Source organism: Homo sapiens, chromosome 6 (genome assembly GCF_000001405.40).
Source record: "Homo sapiens chromosome 6, GRCh38.p14 Primary Assembly".
NCBI classification, from domain to species: domain Eukaryota; kingdom Metazoa; phylum Chordata; class Mammalia; order Primates; family Hominidae; genus Homo; species Homo sapiens.
The window spans coordinates 97,228,218-97,249,714 of record NC_000006.12 but is presented as its reverse complement, the minus strand read 5'-3'; the positions used below and the strand labels follow the sequence as shown (position 1 = coordinate 97,249,714).

The 21,497-nt window shown below is 36.8% G+C and overlaps 1 protein-coding gene across 24 annotated transcripts in view; it reads left to right on the top strand.

The window, feature by feature from the left end:
• Window positions 1-21,497, top strand: part of MMS22L (MMS22 like, DNA repair protein) — a 141,875-nt gene that overhangs the window by 34,321 nt on the left and 86,057 nt on the right. For 16 of the 24 annotated variants that reach the window (XR_942376.2, NM_001350600.2, NM_001350599.2 and 13 more), the window contains 4 exons: window positions 3,025-3,087; window positions 15,735-15,854; window positions 18,063-18,289; window positions 20,312-20,821. Coding sequence is in view for 23 of the 24 variants with exons in the window: in NM_001350600.2 (NP_001337529.1) it covers window positions 3,025-3,087; window positions 15,735-15,854; window positions 18,063-18,289; window positions 20,312-20,821 (920 nt within the window). In the remaining variant the exon portion in view is untranslated. Of the gene's footprint in view, window positions 1-3,024; window positions 3,088-15,722; window positions 15,855-18,062; window positions 18,290-18,560; window positions 20,139-20,311; window positions 20,822-21,497 lie in introns of those variants that run through there. The other 8 variants (XM_047418577.1, XM_047418578.1, XM_047418579.1 and 5 more) reach the window with 3 other exon arrangements.

Here is a 21,497-nt window from a genome sequence, read left to right as displayed (position 1 = left end):
TACGTGTTATAATAGAAGAAATACAGGCTTTGGTGCCAGATAACCTTGGATTTGAATTCATTCTTTGATTTGTACATACATGACCTTTCTGAGACTTAATTATGTTTTCTGTGAAATGGGGAAATTTTTTTGAGGAAGCACTATGTCAAGAACGTAACACAGTAGACATACAGTATTGATAGAAGAAAATGAGCTTTTTTTGAGAGACTTTTAGGGCCAACTACCAAGTTTCAGGGGACAGTCCCTAAAACTGTCTTTACTTCTGACACCAGTTGCAAGCTCAGGGTTCCCAAAACGACCTTAGGTTTGATAATTTGTTAGGACTCACAGAACTCACTGAAAGCTATTATTTTGTTTTCTTAAAGGGGAAGGATATAAATTAACATCAGCCAAGGGAAGAAGGGCATAGGCCAGAGTCCAGAAGTACCAAATGTGGAACTTCTATTGTTTTCTCTTAATGGAGTCAGGCCACGTTCTTCTCCTGGCATCAGTGTGTGACAGTATGCAGGGAGTGTTGCAAAACGGGTGCCCACTCAAGCCTCAATGTTCATAATTTTTATGGGAGTTCCATTATGTAGGGGTGGACTACTGAATTGCTCACGTGGCTGATTTCAGTTTCCAAGTCAACTGACTCAAAGCCCCCAGCCTGAGACTATTGTTGCTCTTTGGGTGTGACCAGGCCCTAAGCTAAGACTATGTGGGTGTGTCCAGCCTTCACTCTCTATCACATAGTTAGATTATCCAGTATGACCATAGGACCCTAGTCAAAGATGCTACTATCAGGCATAACATTCCCAGGGCCCAGAGATGACCTCCAGGAAGCTATGGGCAAAGGTCAGATCTTTTTTTTTTTTTTGAGACAAAGTCTCCCTCTGTTGCCCAGACTGGAGTGCAATGGCACGATCTCTGCTCACTGCAACCTCTGCCTCCTGGGTTCAAGCGATTCTCCTGCCTCAACCTCCCTAGTAGCTGAGATTACAGGCACGCACCACCACACCCTCCTAATTTTTGTATTTTAGTAGAGACGGGGTTTCACCATGTTGGCCAGGCTGGTCTTGAACTCCTGACCTCAAGTGATCTGCCTGCTTCGGCCTCCCAAAGTGCTGGGATTACAGGAGTGAGCCCAGCAGGCCAGATCTTTTCTTTGGGCAAGGCCAAATTCTTTACTCCACATTTTCTCCCAATAAATGCTTTTTTGCATTCATTTTATTTGTGTATGTCAAAAAGTCAACAATTTTGCTAAAAATAACTAAATCATTGTATTAGTAATCTATTGCTGTGTCACAAAAGTATCAGCTTAAAACAAACATTTATTATCTCACACTCTCAATTTCTGAGAATCAGGCATTCAGGAGAAGCTTAGCTGGGTGGTTCTAGCTCAGGGTCTCTCATGAGGTTGCAGTGAAGCTATCAGCCAGGGCTTCAGTATCTGAAGATTTAACTGGAACTGCAGAATTTGCTTTCAGCTTTACTTTAGTTGGCACAGTGCTTCAGTTTCTCATCATATGTGCTGTTCACAATATAGCTGTTTCCAGATCAAGTTAACAGATCAGAGTGTCATAAAGATGGAAGCTTCAGTGTCTTGTAACCTATTCTTGGAGGTGACATACTATCACTTATATTGGTATTGGTAGTCTGTTAGTGACCAACCCTCGTACAGTGTGAGAGGGAATTGTAGAAAGCATAAATTCCAGGAGACAAAGGTCACTGGGGGACATCTTAGAGGCTGACTACCATACTCACTGTGCTCTTTATTAAGAAAATATTGATTTACTGATTTACTGTATTTAGCATTTTACATGAATATTGCCTAGCCATTTAAAATCATGAGAATTCATTATGCTTTAACACTTTATTGATCATTTGAGTTCATGCCTCTGAACAGCATATTCTTTATAACAGGGATAAGAAGGGTATGATGAAGGTCTTTCTTTTACTTTTTAAGGCCTCAGGTTTTGCTTTTTGAGGTCTTATGATTACTTTTCTTTTTTTTTTCTGAGACGAAGTCTTGTTCTGTCACCCAGGCTAGAGCGCAGTGGCATGATCTTGGCTCACTACAACCTACACCTCCTGGGTTCACACCATTCTCCTGCCTCAGCCTCCCGGGTAGCTGGGATACAGGCACCCGCCACCATGCCCGGCTAATTTTTGTATTTTTAGTAGAGACGGGGTTTCACCATGTTAGCCAGGCTGGTTTCCAACTCGTGATCCACCTGCCTTGGCCTCCCAAAGTGCTGGGATTATAGGTGTGAGCCATCGCTCCTGGCCATGATTACTTTTTATACCGTTTTTTTCCCTTCCACATTAGAAGCTGGTTATTACTTGCTTATTCTTTAAAATGCTTTCTTTGCTTTTGGTTTTGTCCAGTATCCACATATCCAGAACTTTAAGAACTGAATATTAAGTGAACTGAGTATCCTGTGAGAATGTCTTCCAGGCTTTCCTTTTGGAAATGTGGAATTGTTTTAAGTGCCTACCTAGCCTTTGTGAAAGTCCTTTTTAGCTTTCTTCCTTATGGAAATCATTCTAGATAGTCGAGGTTGTCAATTTATTTTCTGTATAAAATTTTTAGTTACTTTGTTTACTAAAGTAGATGGTCTCAGGTTTGTTATTCACAAAATGAAGGAAAAAGCTCTAGTGATTAAAGTGGAAAATAGGGATGATTACTCAGCATAAAAAAAAAAACAAACACCAAAAATACATGTGGCTATATAATTTTTTTTTTTTCCTGTTGGATTTTGTATCTGAAAGCAGAAATTAAATATTTGGTAGAATATTTATAATCTTACTGAAGCACCACTGTTACAACTCCTGATATGGTTTGTATTGGATTGGAATAGTTGTACATTTTTTTCTGCCAAGTTTGTTAACTCTTTACCAAAGGAATATTAGAAATTCAAGAAATCACATTGATGCTGAATGATAGAGGAAAATGTACTGCACACTTAATTTGCTATACCCTAATTTTAAATATAGGCATAATCAAGAGCAATAATTTTGATGCACTATTTTCTCCCTTTCTAGAGAAAAGTGGAATCAAATTGGAACTTTGTAGAAGAACTGCTGAAAAAGTCCATCAGTGTTCAGGTATGCAATTAAAGTAAGACAGTTTGTGGATTTTGCTTAATTTTTATGTTACAAATTTTATTTTTAAAACCAAGCAAGCTGTTAAAATGATTCAGAAAACAAATAACTTTCATGCTTTGAAGGGTTAACTCACAGTAGTTTCTTTTAGTGATTATTCTTTAAAGATTTTTAACACTAAGTTGTCAGTTAAAGGACAATAATATCCTAGTTGATGACTTTGACAAAATGTATTCAAAATAAGTGGTAGATGCTTCAGAACTGTATGCCATTCCTTGACTGTATGATATCAAACTAGGTGACACAATGAGGGAGATAGTCATTGGCATTGAAAATTCAGCTATATCCTCATCACAGCAGGAAGGTGACTTGCCTTGCTGAGCAATTTGTCTTACAGGCTTGAATCATATTCTAACTGATAAGGTCCTAGTTTCTGACCATTCGTTTCATACCTTATCATTTTTCTTTCTGCAGAGCTGTTAATGTAGTGCTTCATGGCCTAGAGGTCAGACTTGACCTCCTTTTAAAATAGTTTTAAACATGCTGTTCATCACATTTTTAAACATATTGTATGGAAGCCCTGTAAAGTTTTGTAATATGTTATCATTTTTGTAAGAGTTTATGGAGAATTATAATAAATAATATTTTGGAATTTGGGAAATATTTTTCTTTTAAGAAATAAAGATTATTTAAAACTTGAAGAGGAATAAAAAATATTGTAGTATAATATTGCTTTATATGTGTGTGTGTGTGTGTGTGTGTGTGTGTGTGTGTGTGTGTCTGTAGTAGCTATGTCTTTGGAAAAATTTTAATTGCTTGAAATTTTCTTTTACCCATTATCTGCATTAACTCTTACTTTTTTAGGAAACATAAAGGCATTTAGTTATAATATGAATCACATAATTATGAACTAAAAATTTTAGCTTAGAATGCCAAAGAATTCTGCATACATAAATTGGATCAGAAACAAATCTATTATCTTTTTATAATCTTTCCCATAATCCCTGTAAAAGTTTTGTTTATTGTATTTTGTCCTATATCATGTTCATTGGTTGTCCTCATTTTTTTTGAGAACATATTGATTTAGTAACTTAAAAAGTTTTTTATGTATATTTTTTATTTCAGAATGAAGGGAATTACTAAAAAGTGGTTGTGAAATAAGATGCATATTACAGTGGCCATTGTCATTTGTATCAGTTACTAATTCAGTCTTAATGCTTTAACCAAATCCAGAGAATTTCAGTAAAGTCTGGATAACATTATTATTCTATTGGGAGTTACTGAATCTGAGTCAGTAACTAGGGGTTTAATTTTCAGTTAGGTTGTAACTGCTTGTGTTCTTTAAATTGCTTTCTCATTGACCCATGTTTCTGTTGTATTTAATAATTTTTAAACTCCCTTTCAGCTCTAACAGTGTATGAATTTATGGTTTTGCACTCAGCTGGTTTTAAGTTACAGAATATTTCTTAAGAAGCTTTAAAGGTTTATATGGATAAATATATATATTATATATATTTACATAGATCTCAGCCCTGCACACCAGAGGCCTGGATATAAATTCAGCTCTGTTGGCTGTTGAGGGAGCATAGCGGGAGTGAGACTGACCTTGCTGGCTGCATGGGAGCTGGGTGAGGCCTGCCACTGCCAGCTTTCCCCCACTTCTCTGGAGACCTTTATGAAGCAGCAGAGGCAGCCATAATTCCCCTTCGAACATAATTTCGTAGCCCTGAGAACTGCCCCCGCCCATACCCACTCCACAGTGGTCGCATCAAGCCCTGCCCAAGGAGAGTCTGAGCTCAGCCATGCCTAACCATTCCCCCATCTTATGGTTTGTATTAGGGTTCTCTAGAGGGACAGAACTAATATATATGGGAGTTTATTAAGGAGTATTAACTCACATGATCACAAGGTCCTACAATTGGCCACCTGCAAGCTGAGGAGCAAGGAATCCAGTCCAGGTCTCAAAGCTGAAGAACTTGGTGTCCAATGTTTGAGAGCAGGAAGCATCCAGCACGGGAGAAAAATGTAGGATGTGAGACTAAGCCAGTCTAGTCTTTTCATGTTCTTCTGCCTGCTCTTTATTCTGGCTGAGCTGACAGCTGATTAGATTGTGCCCACTTAGATTAAGGGTGGGTCTGCTTTTCCCAGCCCACTGACTCAAATGTTAATCTGCTTTGGCAGCACCCTCACAGACACACCCAGGATCAATACTGCATTCTTCAATCCAACCAAGTTGACACTCAGTATTAACTATCAACAGTCTTTCTCTACCCACCTGGTAGCCGAAGATAGAAAACATAAACTCATGGGAGCTCCATGGCCCCATCCATCACCTGAGAAACCTGAATACTTATGCAGGTGATTTCAGGGCAAGTTTATGTCCCCCCTGTAGTACCACAGCTGATGCCCTCTTGAAAGTGCCACCTCCTGGCTGGAGGCCAACCAACTCAAGCCATTACGGCAACTCATAACAGAACAACCCTGCACCAAGGAAGGAGAAAACAACATCTAATTTCATTACCTGTAACATCCTGTTTAACCAGAGGTCCTGAGTCTGTCCACATGACAACTTCACTGCTAGCATAACCAGCATTCAAGAAAACCAATGTACTAAACAAAACTGCAACCAAGGATCCTCACAGAGTCCATTTCACTCCCCTGCTACCTCCACCAGAGCAGGTGGTGGTATCCACGGCTGAGAGACCTGAAGATAGATCACATCACAGGACTCTTTGCAGACACCCCCCACCCCAGTACCAGCCCAGACCCCAGTAGCTCTGCTGGGTGACTAGACCCAGAAGAGCAATAACAATCACTGCAGTCTGGCTCTCAGGAAGGGGGAGAACACCACATCAAGGGATCACCCTGCAGTACAAAAGAACATTAGTCCTTGGATCTCAGATCTTTCCTCTGGATATGGTCTATCCAAATGAGAAGGACCCAGAAAAACAATTCTGGTAATAGGACAAAACAAGGTTCTTTATCACCCCCACAAGATCACACTAGCTCACCAGCCATTAATCCAAACCAAGAAGAAATCTCTGAATTACTAGAAAAAGAGTTCTAAAGGTCGATTCTTAACGTTACTTAAGGAGGCAACAGAGAAATGTGAAAACCAGATTAAAGAAATTTAAAAAATAATAACAGATATGCATGAAAAGATCTCCAGAGAAATATATATCATAAATAAAAAACAATCACAACTTCTGGAAATGAAAGACACATTTAGAGAAATGCAAAATGCACTGAGAAGTTTCAACAGTAGAATCAAACAAGTAGAAGAAAGAGCATCAGAGCTTGAAGACAAGGTTTTCAAATTAATCCAATCCGATAAAGACAAAGAAAAAAGAATTTTTTAAAAAAATGAACAAAACCTCCAAGAATATTGGGATTATGTTAAGTGACCAAACCTAAGAATAATTGGTGTTCCTGAAGAAGAAGAGAAATCTAAAAGTTTGGAAAACTTATGTGAGGGAATCATCTAGGAAAAGTGCACTGGCATTGCTAGAGATCTAGACATCCAAATACAAGAAGCTCAAAGAACACCTGGGAAACATCACAAAAAAGATAATCACCTTAGGCACATAGTCATCAGGTTACCTAAAGTGAAGACAAAGCAAAGAATCTTAAGAGCTGTGAGGCAGAAAGCATCAGGTAACCTACAAAGGAAAACCTATCAAATTAACAGCAGCTATTTTAGCAGAATACAAGCTAGAAGGGATTTGGGTCCTATCTTTGGCATCCTTAAACAAAATTATCATCCAAGAATGTTGTGTCCAGTGAAACTAAGCTTCATAAATGAAGGAAAGATATAAAGTATTTTTCAGACAAACAAATGCTAAGAGAATTTGCCACTACCAAGCCAGCACTATAAGAACTGCTGAAAGGAGACCTAAATCTTGAACCTCAAAATATACCAAACAAACCTCTTTAAAGCATAAATCTCACAGGGCCTATCAAACAATAACACAATGAAAAAAGGCACTCAGGCAACAACTACCACAGTGAATAGAATAGTACCTTACATCTCAATACTAACGTTGTATGTAAATGACCTAAATGTGTCACTTGAAAGATATAGAAGGGCAGAATGGATAAAAATTCACCAACCAAGTATCTGCTGTCTCCAAGAGACTTAACACATAAGGACTCATAACTTAAGGTAATGGGGTGGAAAAAGATAGTCCATTCAAATGGACCCCAAAAGTGAGCAGAAGTAGCTATTCTTGTATCAGACAAAACAGATTTTAAAACAACAACAGTTTGAAAAGACAGAGGGACATTATGTAATGATAAAAGTATCCAACAGAAGAATATCACAATCCTAAATAGGGAACATACACAACTAACACTGGAGCTCCCAAATTTATAAAATAATTACTAGACCTAAGAAATGAGATAGATGGCAACACAATAATAGTGGGGGACTTCAGTACTCTACTGACAACACTAGTCAGGTCATCAAGCCAGAAAGCCAACAAAGAAACAATGGATTTAAACTATACCCTAGAACAAATGGACTTAACAGATATTTACAGAACATTCTACTCAAACTGCAGAATATACATTCTCTTCACCAGCACATGGAACATTCTCCAAGATAGACCATATGATAGGCCACAAGTCTCAATAATTTTTAAAAAATTGAAATTATATCAAGTACTCTCCCAGACCACAGTGGAATAAAATTGGAAATGAATTCCAAAATGAACCTTGAAAACTATACAAATACGTGGAAATTAAATAATCTGCTTCTGAATGATCTTTAGGTCAATAATGAAATCAAAATAGAAATTTAAAAATCCTTTGAACTGAATAGTAATAGTGACACAACCTATCAAAACCTCTGAGGTACAGCAAAAGCAGTGCTAAGAGGAAAGTTCATAGCATTAAATGCCTACATCAAAAAGTCTGAAAGAGCACAAATAGACAATCTAAGGTCACACTTCAAGGAACTAGAGAAACAAGAATAAACCAAACCCAAATCCCATCCATAAGTGGGCTAAGGACATGAATAGGCAGTACTCAAAAGAAGATATGTAAATGGCCAAGAAACAGATGAAAAAATGCTCAACATCACTAATGATCAGGGAAATGCAAATCAAAACCACAATGCAACACCACCTTACTCCTGCAAGAATGGCCATAATTTAAAAATAAAAAAAAAATAGATGTTGGTGTGGATTTGGTGAAAAGGAAACACTTACGTTGCTGGTGGGAATGTAAACTAGTACAAACACTGTGGAAAACATTATGGATATTCCTTAGAGAACTAAAAGAAGATCTAACATTTGATCTATCAGTGCCATGGCTAGGTGTCTCTCCAGATGAAAAGAAGCATTATGAAACACTTGCACATGCATGTTTATAGCAGCACAATTTGCAATTGCAAAAATATGGAACCAGCCCAATACCCATCAATCAATGAGTGAATAGAGAAAACTTCTTATATATAGAACATGGAATACTACTCAGCCTTAAAAAGGAATGAAATAATGGTATTTGCAGGAACCTGGATTGAGTGGAGACCATTATTCTTAGTGACAACACTCAGGAATGGAAAACTAACCAACATATGTTCTCGTTTTTAACTTGGAGGTAAGCTATGAGGACACAAAGGTGTAAGCATGATATAATGGACTTTGAGGGCCTGAGGGGAATGGTGGGAGTAGGGTGAGGGATAAAAGACTATACTTAGGGTACAGGCCGGGTGTGGTGGCTCACGCCTGTAATCCCAGCACTTTGGGAGGCCAAGGCAGGTGGATCACCTGAGGTCAGGAGTTCAAGACCAGCCTGGCCAACATGGTGAAACTCTGTCTCTACTAAAAATACAAAAGTTAGCCGGGTGTGGTGGCATGTGCCTGTAATCTCATCTTCTCAGGAGGCTGTGGCAGGAGAATCACTTGAACCTGGGAGGCAGAGGTTTCAGTGAGCCAAGATCACGCCATTGCACTATAGCCTAGGTGACAAGAGCAAAACTCTGTCTCAAAAAAAAAAAAATGACCATACTTTGGGTACAGTGTATATTGCTCAGGTGATGGGTGCACCGAAACCTTAGAAATCACCACTAAAGAACTTATTCATGTAACCAAACACCACCTGTTCCCCAAAGACTATTGGTTGTGGGGAAAAAAGTAGGTCAGGTGACCAGCCATCCTATCCTGGTTTGCATGGCCCAGAGTTTCAGTGTGAAACCAGGAAACATCTGAGCAAACCAGGATGAGTTAGTCACCCTAGAAGTAGGAATAATATGACTAATCTAAGAAACATGCTCTATGAATTTAGGTCTAGCATAAAGTCAAAATATCTTTCCTATGGGAAAAGAGGCGATTATAATATTTATGAAGAAGTAGTTCTGTGGTTCTCTGCTATTCCTTCAGTTTTAGTGTTCCTTGATTGTATCAAATTATATTCTATAAGTAGTATAGGACTATGTGTTGGATTTCTGGAAACCAATTTTGTGGGAGCAGTAGTAGGTAGTTGTAAAGAATAATATATTTGGATAGAACTGTCAGTTTGATTATATCTATTTTCCTCCCATTGAGGTAAATTGAAATCTGACCATGGTCATGTACTTTGACTTGATCTCCAACAGTGACAGTGGTGAAAGAGTCCATTTGCTGTATTTAAACAAAATAAAAATCTTCCAAATATACAGCAGCCTTCAAATAAAATTAGTGTACACTTCATTATACTTTTTGTTTTTATTTTTTGTTTAAAGAGACAGAGTCTTTCACTGTCACCCAGGCTGGATTGGAGTACAGTGGTGTGGTTATAGCTCACTATAACCTTGAACTCCTGAGCTCAAGCACTTCTTCTGCCTCCTTCTCCCGAGTCATTAGGACAGGTGCATGCCACCATGTCTGGCTAATATCTTCATTTTATAGACAGATCTTGCTGTGTTTCCCAGGCTGATCTTGAATTATTGGCCTCAAGGAATCCTCCTGCCTCAGCTTCCAATAGTGCTTGGGATTACAGATGGGAGCCACCGCACCCAGCCTGACCACTACAGCTTTAATCAAGCAAATAATGTTTTGAATTCTTTTTTCTAGCTAGAGAGGATCTGCCAGAAACAGAGGTGGAGTTTTAGTTTAGTAAAGAGAACGTATATTGCTCAATTTTACTTACTTAAGTACAGTTTTTTAGAGGTAATCCTATTTAATATTTGTGAATGCTAATTGTAAACGTGTGTTCTACCTTTGGGAACAGCATTATTGTTTTCATATGAGAAAGATTTTTCATCTTTTGCTGCCTGCTTTTTAAAAGCCTCATTGTTTTCTGAGATCACAGAAGTAATTTTTAGTTTTATAAAGGTTATGGAAGGGTATTTAAAAAGTAAGCCTGATTTTAAAAAATTATTTTGATTTTTTAAACACATTAATTTGGAGAGTCCAGGAGTAGAACCAACTCAGAATGTGATTAGATCTAAATAATGTGGGACAATAGTCTTTAAATAACTAACTAAAAATCAGTGTTTCTTGAGTAGAAGGATCGTAACTGGGATATTGAAGCCCAACTCTATTCTCTCCTAAAAATAAATCCAATTAGGCAAACTTCTGGTAACAGTTACTGTTTAGACTGTGAATAAATTTTCTTCTTGTGATGGTTTCTGATAGGTAGGCTAGTTATGCATAAATAAATGAGTCTTTGTTAAATTATATATAATAACCAGTTGTTAAATTGCCATTTCTTTTTTCTTTTTTTTTTTTTTGAGATGGAGTCTCGCTGTTTCGCCTAGCGGAGTCAGTGGCGCGATCTCGGCTCACTGCACTCCGCTAGGCGACAGAGCACTCCGTCTCAAAAAAAGAGCTAAAAGAGTGAATGTGCACCTTATTAGTCCAATTAAAGATTTGACCTATGTAGTATGCCCAAATGTAATATGCGTACATTTGATTGTTCAAAATAAAGATAAGACATTCTTTAGAAAAGGACTAAAGCAGAGATTAGAAGCAGGCATATTCATTTAACGGACTTATTGGAATATTCATTAAATAGCTCATATTCTCTCCCCGTCTGATACACTCAAACACACACACACACACACACACACACACACACGAGATGAGACACGCTGAGAGCCCATAAGGGCTTCTGAAAATGTGGGAGATGCGTAGTACTCCTTGAGCCAGTCAGGTTTAAGGCTTTGTGGAAAAGAGGCCCACAGGCCTTATGGCTTACTAAAAACAATCTTTAATCAGAGGGCATGGAATTACATGTCTTTAATCAAATCTCTGGTAGGGTTTGCTTAAAACTGACAAAATTGATATGTATCATCTTAAGGAACAATACTATGACCCTGTTGCATTTATTATTTGATCATCAGAAGAGTAACATTGGTCTAAAGTACATTTCTCTCCTGCAGATAACAAAACGATAGCTATCCCTGTGCAAGCACTCTGCTTAACACTTACTGCACATACCTTCACTTAATACTTACGACAGTCGTGTGTAGTGATATTTCTGTTTCCGTTTTATACTTTTACAGACTGAGGCCCAGAATGTTTGAAGAACTTGTCCAGGTTCACACAGCTAGCTTAGGAAATGGCAGAACTGAGATTTGAATTTTCATATGTTTAACTCCACTGTTTGGTACCTAGCATTCATACTTTTGCTTTTCCCAAACTTTGCATATTTTTTATAGTTTAAATATGTTTTTCTGGATTTTACATGGTAAAATGAATTTCAGATGTTAAATAAAACCCTTCAGTGTGAACTTTGATAACATAACCTACTTTTTTACCTTATAAACATGATAAAATTAGTATGCTTTATTTCAATTCAGTAATGTGCCATAGGAATCAATATGAACCTGGATCTAGTTTAATATTTTCATAATAAAATTAGAGGATATTAGTGATGGACAGAACCTTGCCTTCTTTGGTTAAATAAGCTTAATTGTTTATTAGAGAAGCTAAATGTCTTTCCCTAAGCCATAACTCTACTTGTTGGGAAGAAGCATCAGAACCCAGATCTCAGTTTTGTTCATGAATCATTTATGGAGGCTCTTTGGTGAAACAGGCACCGTGGCGTATATACCATGTGGGTATTATTCTATCTTTCAGAGAGCTCTTAGACACTTGAAAGCAGATAAACATTAAACTTAACAAGGTAAGTATGATGATGTAGGTATGCCTAGTGTGCCATAAAAGCGTAAAGAAAGGCCACTTATCTAGTAAGGGAGTTAGGAAGTTTTCTGGAGAACTTGTAGTTTGAAGTGTATTTTAAATAATGAATAAAGAGTTAAGGCCTTGTCCAAAAAAAATTGTGCATTGCTGCTTTTTACCCATATTTGGGTCACTCTTCATTCATTGAAAAGGTTTTGTACCAAGATCACTGTGTTCTTCTTTACCTGTACACTATTTCTGCTAGTGACCCTGACGTTATTGGGTATAATCGAACTGTCCTTTCAATTTCTTAATAGCCTCACTTCTTATTAGATTTTCTTTTACTTGCCTTATCTACCTCCTCCCATGGTTATACTCTACAGCTTTTCACTTTTCATTTTTCTTTTCATTTTGCCCGTTACCATTGACCTTTTCATTTTTCTGTCCTCTTCCATTTCCTCACTTTGTTTCTTAAACAATATACACAACCAATTATTTTTAATGAATATTCCAATAAGTCCATTAAATGAATATGCCTGCTTCTAATCTCTGCTTTAGTCCTTTTTTTTTTTTTCTGAGGCGGAGTCTCGCTCTGTCACCCAGGCTGGAGTGCAGTAGCGCTATTTCGGCTCACTGCAAGCTTCGCCTCCCAGGTTCTTGCCATTCTCCTACCTCAGCCTTCTGAGTAGCTGGGACTACAGGCACCCGCCACCATGACCAGCTAAATTTTTGTATTTTTAGTAGAGACGGGGTTTCACCGTGTTAGCCAGGATGGTCTCGATCTCCTGACCTGGTGATCTGCCCTCCTTGGCCTCCCAAAGTGCTGGGATTACAGGTGTGAGCCACCGTGCCCGGCCTTAATCTCTGCTTTAGTCCTTTTTAAAAGAATGTCTTATCTTAATTTTGAACAATCAAATTTAGGCATATTACATTTGGGCATTACTCCATAAGAAACATCTTTAATTCCATAGCCCTTAACTTGTTTTAACCATGAAAAAGCCATTCTTTCTCTCCTATCTCCCACACCACCCACAACTGAATATTGTGAGAGAAAATCATACATTCATTTTTACTAAGATGATTGACTTTAAATTGTTGATCATAATCTCAAATGGCCATCAGCTCTAGAATGTTTGCTTTTCTGCTCTCCAAAATGACTTAATGACTTACTTCAGAACTTCTCTTTTTTTTTTTTTTTTTTTTGGAGAAAGAGTGTCACTCTGTCTCCCAGTGCAATGGCAGTCTCGGCTCACTGCAACGTCTGGCTCCTCCCGGGTTCAAGCGATTTTCCTGCTTTGGCCTCCCGAGTAGCTGGGATTATAGGTGCCTGCCATCTCGTCCAGCTAATTTTTGTATTTTTTAGTAGAGATGGGGTTTCGCCATGTTGGCCAGGCTGGTCTTAAACTCCTGACCTCAGGTGATCCACCCAGCTCGGTCTCCCAAAGTGCTGGGATTACAGGTGTGAACCACCGTGCCTGGCCCGGAACTTCTCTTTGACATAAAATTTAATACGTACTCTTCTCCAATCCATTCGGGTTAACATCTTGCCTCATAAATCATTGAAAAATAGAATTGGTCAGGTAAGAATTCCTATCTTTACAGCTTTAAATCTCCCAACACATCTGCTTCATATTCAACCTCTCAGACTATTCTTCTTTTATGTTAGAAGTGTCACTTTCTATCAAGAGCTAATTCCTTCCCTCGTGCACTGGATCTTAACTCTTCTCACCTGTTCAAGGACTTTATTGTTTGTGTATTTTCACTTAAATATTTACTTCCTCACCTCCTAGATGTCCTCAGCCATCCATAGTTGAGCTTCTTCATCATAGTCTTCATCAAGCCCCAAACTGCTCTGGGAAGGCCGTCAATGACTTCCATATTGTTTCTTCCAAGGGTTCTTATTTCTTCTTTTTGTAACCTCTGAGCAGAGGTCAATCCTGTTCACCATTGTCGTTTTTCTGAAGTACTTCTCTTGGCATCCGCAATGCCTGGTTTCCTTTTTACTTCATTGACCACTTGTTTTTGCATATATTCTCCACTTGCTTCATATGAAAATGTTATAATATCAAATGGCTCTCAGTTATGGATCCTTTTATCATTGACCCAAATTTATGTCAACAACTCTGACTTTAATCCCTTAACTCTAGACCCATAGGTCAGATTATCTGCTTAATAGCTCTACTTGTATACCCTGGACACTCACCTCATAAGTTCTTCCTTTAGTCTTTGCCATTTCAGGAAATAGCACCATTGACCTATTTCCTTATGCAAAAACCTGAAACTTCTTTCTTTCATACTTTAATGTAATTTACCAGCAAATCCCACTGAATCTTTTTCCAAACATATCTTTAAAGTTTCAGTCTTATAGTTTCGCACAGTCGCCTCCTACCTGGTCTCCCTGCATCTCTTCTTAACCCCTCTATTCACTCTTTATGTATAATCCAGAGCAGTGTTTTTGAAACAATCACATCATGTCACTTCTGTGCTTACTCTTTTCCAGTAGCTTCCCAACATATTTAAAATACAATCCAAATTTCTTACCAAGACCAGTAAAGCCTCAAATGAGATATGATGTCTTCCTGTCTAGAATTTTATAATACCAAGCCTACTAATAATTGAGGAACTTTCCACTCATTTTCTCTGCCTTGAATGTTTTTCTTCCAAGTCTTTATTGACTTTCATTTAATCATGTAGTTCAATTGCAGCCCTTCAAAAGGCTTTTCCATTCATAGCAGCTAATAAAATAATGATGCTTATCCTTTACCAATTACTTTGCCACATTACTTTGCTTTGTTTCATTTTCACAGCAGTTACTTCTGTTCAAATTTATCTTGTTTTAGTGTCCTTTTCTTTTCTTTCCAAAAATGTAAGCTCTACCAGTACATGTGCTATCTCTGACTTACTTGTTGTCCTATGCCTAGTACGTTAAAACAGTGCCTAGTATGTGGTAAGTTTTAAATACAATTGTTGAATGATTGGAATTCAGTGTGTTATTTAAAAAATATATGCATGGTTATATCGTCATAGAAAAAGCATCTATGTTTTTTCTACTTCCTTTTCCTCCTGTTATCTCCTAAAAGGTTAAAATAGATGTACTCTGACAATCCTTTGGTTTTAGAAAGAACAACTCCTATAATCCTATAAAAAGATTTGACCAAGTACTTAAGTATGACCAAGCACTCTGGATTTGTGTACATCTTAATCGTTACATCATTTTTGCCACTTCTTTTTGGTTTGGGTTCCTTTTCTGGTTTCTGGGTTTCCAGTACCATTCAATTATGAAACACCTGTAATTTTTAAATAATTGAATTAAAAGTCGAGTTATGTGACTTCTGTTATCTGAATGTGTTAATGGTGTTTAAAACATGTTTTTGGAAGTATGTGTTGTGTTGATTTAGACCTAGTCTGCATATGAGAATGGGTATGATTGGGTGACACATATTTATTTTCTTTTTAGCTGCAGGTTATATACAGCACAATATCAAGTGAAAATGTTTATATTGCCAGAGCCCATTTACCTTCTCATAACTTCAGTTTATTTTTTAGGGTGTCATTCTAGAAGAACAATTACGAATGTATCTTCACTGTTGTTTGACACTTTGTGATTTCTGGGAGCCAAACATTGCAATTGTTACCATTTTATGGGAATATTATAGTAAGAACCTGGTGAGTGAATAGAATAGGAATTTGCTCCAGGAATTTTAAAAATTTGTACATATTTGAGGAATGTCTTTATGGTTTAATTATGAATAGTTATGGATTTTTCTTAAAAAGTTAATTTTTTTCAGAGTAGATTGGAGTAGCTCGTGAATAGTTTTATCTTTAACATTGTAGAGCTTTGTCATAAGGGAAACAGCATTTGGTATCCTTTTTCTCTTGAGAGCAAGGGTAAACAAAGTAGCTAAAATGTATCAGATATTTATAAAATCTTCATTTATAAATGTTTCTAATAATAATTGATTGCTCATGACACATTGAACAGGCACTGCTGTCCTGAGTAAGAAACAATCCTGGCATTTGAGTAGCTTATAGGCTACTAGTGGGTGGGTATACATACATTGTGGGAAAAAAGTTATAATTGTGGAACTCCAGAGGAGAGGGTATCTAACCCGGTATCTGTATTTGTGGAAGACTTCATGAGGTCATAATTTTTGAACTTGGCTTTGGGAATGAGTAGAATTTTCTAACAGAAGAAAAAGGGATCCAGGCAGAATGAACAACATGGACAAATACATGGAGGTATGAAAAAGCATGGTCTGTTCCTACCATGTTAAATAGTTCTGAATTATAGGCCTCGGATAACTATGGAGAGACCGAAGATAGGAGACTAGAGAAGGCAGTCTGGGGCTAGGCTATGAAGGGTTGAAGATAATGTACAGTTAATTCTGGTTTATTCAGGAGACACTAAATAGCGAGGATGTGACTTAGGTATGTGTTTGAGAAAGCTTTTTTTTTTTTTCTGAAAGTGGTGTAAATGAATTGGGTACAGACAACTTAGTGGTTTATTGTAGTTGTATGAGCAAATGATACTATGGCTGAGAACTGAAATAGGAACAATATATTTAGAAAGGAGAGGATGAGTTTGGAAGATTGAAAATTTAAAGGTAGATTTAAAGGATTTATACTTTGTATATAGAAAGGAAATTTGGGATGTTTTGGGTTTGGGGTAAATAATTAGTGAACCTCTCAATCAAAATAGAAAATGGTAATGGAAGATTTACAAGTAAATAATGTTTGGATTTGTGGATAATGGAGCTTATTAAAAAATTAGAAAAATGCCCTTCTCTGAAGCATAATTTTAGGCTAGTTGGAGAAATGACTGATTGTAGTCTTGAGGCAGGAAGAGTCCAGGGTGAGTCTAGGGTGTCTTGTCATACCAGAAAGCAGGAAAGGTATCAAATTAAGCTAGAGTCATGTCAGAAGAACACAGGAGCCAACCTGAAGGAATGTCCATTGCCCAGAAAATGGGAAAATTTGAGCATAAGAAAGAATAATGACTGCAATAGATTAAAACATATTAAATATGTTTAAATCTCTGAGTTTATGCTTCTTTGTAAAAAGTTACTCTGAAAAAAGAAACACCTAATTCTGAAAACTGTAAAGAAAATACAAACTATATTTTAGAGTAATCAGATTTCTGATGAGTTAATTAAGAAAACGTGATAGAATTAGAAGTCACCATTTTGTACATTTAATGAAATAAGGCATCTGGGCAATGATCATCAATGCTACGAAAACTGTTAAGTAAAAGGCTTGTGGGACCACTAAAATGGGTGGACCAGGCTGATAACCTGACCAGTTTTAACATCACAAAAAGTCAGAACTTATGTGCCTTTTTACTAAATGCAATAGGAACTACTTAGTACTACTGATGAAAGATTCTTGTCAAAAAAGTCAACATAAATCTGATGAAACCTCTAGATATAGCCACCAATTTACAGAAAAGGGAAGGGAAAAAAGATTAAGTAACACTAGAGCCATACAAGCAGCTAAATTTAGAACATGGGAAATTTTATACAACCAATGACCTGATATTAAAAACAAGTGGTATAACAAAAACATTGGGAAACTTAAAGAATAAAAGAGCCCACAGTGCCATGCATATCACTGAATGCAATGTATGGATCTTGTTTGTATCCTAATTTGGACAAATCAACTGTTAAAAACACATTTGGGGGACAATCCAAAATTTGGACACCTCTTGATGCTCTGTACTTTCATGGAATTTTTATTTTAGAGAATCGTGTTCATGTAGTTTTTGTGATTAAGATGAGTCAGACTTTTGATGAACCAACTAACTGGGATTTGCAGCTTACCATTTTATTTACTAAGAGACTAATAATTGTTTTCTATCTTTTTTTTCCCCCCTTTTAGAATAGTTCCTTCAGTATTTCTTGGCTTCCTTTTAAAGGCCTTGCTAATACCATGAAGTCACCCTTGTCTATGCTTGAAATGGTGAAGACTTGCTGTTGCGATAAACAAGATCAGGAACTATATAAATCCAGCAGTAGTTATACTATTTTTCTTTGTATTCTGGCAAAAGTTGTTAAAAAAGCAATGAAGAGCAATGGCCCTCATCCTTGGAAACAAGTCAAAGGAAGGTATATGCAGTATCTTCTGTCATGAGTGTGCACTGATATCTTTGGATAGGTGTTACTATTTGTATTTTGTTATGTTTACTTGGGATTAGAGTCTTAATTAGTTATAATGTTACTAGGTAATCCATTATATGCATTTGATTAAAAGTGATAGAAACAAACATCTTCAAGTTGTACGTTGGTAGGTAATAGTTTCAACATATAAAACTTTTGTGTTCTTTGAGCCCAGCGGTTCACAAGCACTGGTTTTTTTGGTTTGTTTTGTTTTTTAAATGAGAACTGACCACAGTATAGTAGAACCAGATAACTAATGTTCTCATTTGGGAACTATGCTGTTTTCATTTCTGATAAAATAAACTTTGGTCACATTAGTCCATTGTTTTCTCTGTCTCTTTTGAGAGTTTTGCTTGTTCAATGAGTATACTTTTAAATTGTCTTTCTTTTTTCTACTTCCTTTGCCTATATTAGCTCTTTTCTTAGCCTTCTTTGTGCAGTACACCACCATCTACCACTTGCTCAGATTATTTGTTGAGACCTCTCAGGGAAGAGAATACTAGGTAGGGACTTCTCAAGAATCACTTAATGAAATTCCTGTTTGAGTCCCACAGTGAGTAATTCTTATAAGGGTATGGTGATATGGTTTGGATATTTCATTTGTCATATACTGTTTTAAATGCCAGCTTCTTTATTAAATCTACAAGAATCACATGGCTTAAACAGTTTTTTTTTATTTTGTTCTATTTGACAGTTTGTTTTTGAATCTTAAGCAATTTTATGGAAGACATAATACTCAGAACTTTATGGCTAAAAGAAGTCATTGGAGTTTATTCAATAACAAGTCTATTAGACACATACTATATGTCAAGCACTATAGTGGGGATAGTAGTAGACAATACAAAGATAATTAAACAGATTTTTACTTTTAAGAGTTTGTCAGCTTTTAAGTATTTATAAACATTTAACTCTCATGAGCATTACTCATTTCTGTCCTGAATAAGCCAGTTATAGAAGTTGCAAAACTTAAGGCCAGGTGTGGTGGCTCACACCTGTAATCCCAGCATTTTGGGAGGCTGAGGTGGGCGTATCACTTGAGATCAGGAGTTTGAGACCAGCCTGGACAACATGGTGAAATTCTGTCTCTACTAAAAAAAAAAAAAAAAAAAAAATAGCCAAGCGTGGTGGTGCGTGCCTGCAATCCCAGCTACTCAGGAGGCTGGGGCAGGAGAATAACTTGAAACTGGGAGGTGGAGGCTGCAGTGAGCCTAAATTGCGCCACTGTACTCCAGCCTGGGCAACAGAGTGAGACTCCGTCTCAAAAAAACAAAAAACAAAAAACCAACAACAACTTAATTCGTAAGTAGGAATTCAGATGAATTGTTTTCAATTCTAACCCCTTAATTGATGAAAGAAAAGAATGTCAACTATTAACTATATTATCTATTGTACTATTTTGTCAACTATTGTATTAAATAGTATTGATGGGAGATTTTTAAATGCATAGTTCTTTGCAGATGGCTACAAAGAATTTTTCTAACGCCTTGCATTGTCTTAAGGTATAAGTAAAATAAGAGCAAGTGTTCGTGAGGGGGTGCAGGGAGAAAAGAGTTTAAGGAAAATTGTTACATAAAATTGTCCTGTTAAGATCTCTGTAAAAGCATATCAAATTGTATTTAAAAGATTATATATTCTTTCTTATTTACTAATCAAAATAAGAAAAGAAAGGTGATGGGGGACTTGAATAAAAGGAAAAGCCATGTACTATATGAAAACATTTCTACTTTCCTTTGGGGAAAGCCATTGAATCCTTTGATTCACTTACAGGTGATTTGCTGCATCATTGGGAAATTTCAAGGTAGGGCCATTATGTGTTTTCTAAGTAAAAAAAGTGACAAGGCAGCATCAAAATAAAGAATTAGCTTAAAATTTAATGAGATTGTTATGAGTATTGAAACAAATTTTCTTTTAAGAGATACAGATTTTTGTGAATGAAACAATTTTATTAAAGCATTTTTTAATGTTTTACAGAATATATTCAAAATTCCATCAAAAAAGAATGGAAGAACTAACTGAAGTTGGTCTACAGAACTTTTTTAGCCTTTTTCTACTGTTAGCAGCTGTTGCAGAGGTAGAAGATGTTGCAAGTCATGTTTTAGACCTCCTGAATTTCCTCAAGCCTGCTTTTGTAACGTCTCAGAGAGCCCTCATTTGGAAGGGTCACATGGCCTTCCTCTTGATGTATGCCCAGAAAAATCTGGACATTGGTGTTTTGGCTGAGAAATTTTCATGTGCTTTCCGGGAGAAAGCAAAGGAATTCTTGGTGTCTAAGAATGAGGAAATGGTACAGAGACAGACTATCTGGACCCTTCTTTCCATATACATTGATGGTGTTCAAGAAGTGTTTGAGACCAGCTATTGCTTGTATCCTTCCCATGAAAAACTGCTTAATGATGGATTTAGTATGCTTCTGCGAGCATGTCGAGAATCTGAACTTAGGACAGTATTGAGCTTCCTACAAGCTGTTCTGGCCAGAATCAGGTATGGTTTTCAGTTGTATGCTAATTTATGATTTGTTTTATATAATTACTTATGTGGATTTTATATTAAAGTTATATATATGCATATATACAAATACACATGAAATCCAAATGTAGAGGAAGGATTTAGTTTTCTACTACATGGGCATAAATCAGTACAGGTTGAATATATCCGTGTACTAAAATGCTATTATATGAAAAGCTTGGGACTAGAAGTGTTTTGGATTTTGGATTTGTTTAGATTTTGGAATATTTGCATATGCATAATGAGATATTTTGAGGAGGGGACCCAAGTCTAAACATAAAATTCAGTTATGTTTCACATACATCTTATACACAGGCTGAATGTAATTTTATGCAACATTTTGAATAATTTTGTGCATGAAACAAAGTTTTGACTGCAACCCATCCCATGAGGCCAGATACAATTTTCCACTTGTAGTGTCATGTTGGCACTCAAAAAGTTTTGAATTTTGGGGCATTTTGGATTTTGAATTTTCAGATTAGTGAGGCTCAACCTGTAGTTTTCAAGCTGTTTTTCAAACAATAGCTTTTCAAAAGAAAGCTTATATGCAAACACAAGATGCAGAACTAAAGTCAAGAGCAGCTCTGGTGCAGTCTGAGAGCCATGCTTTCTCTTAGCCCTTCCTTCCCCTGCTACCTCTCAGAAAAGTGTA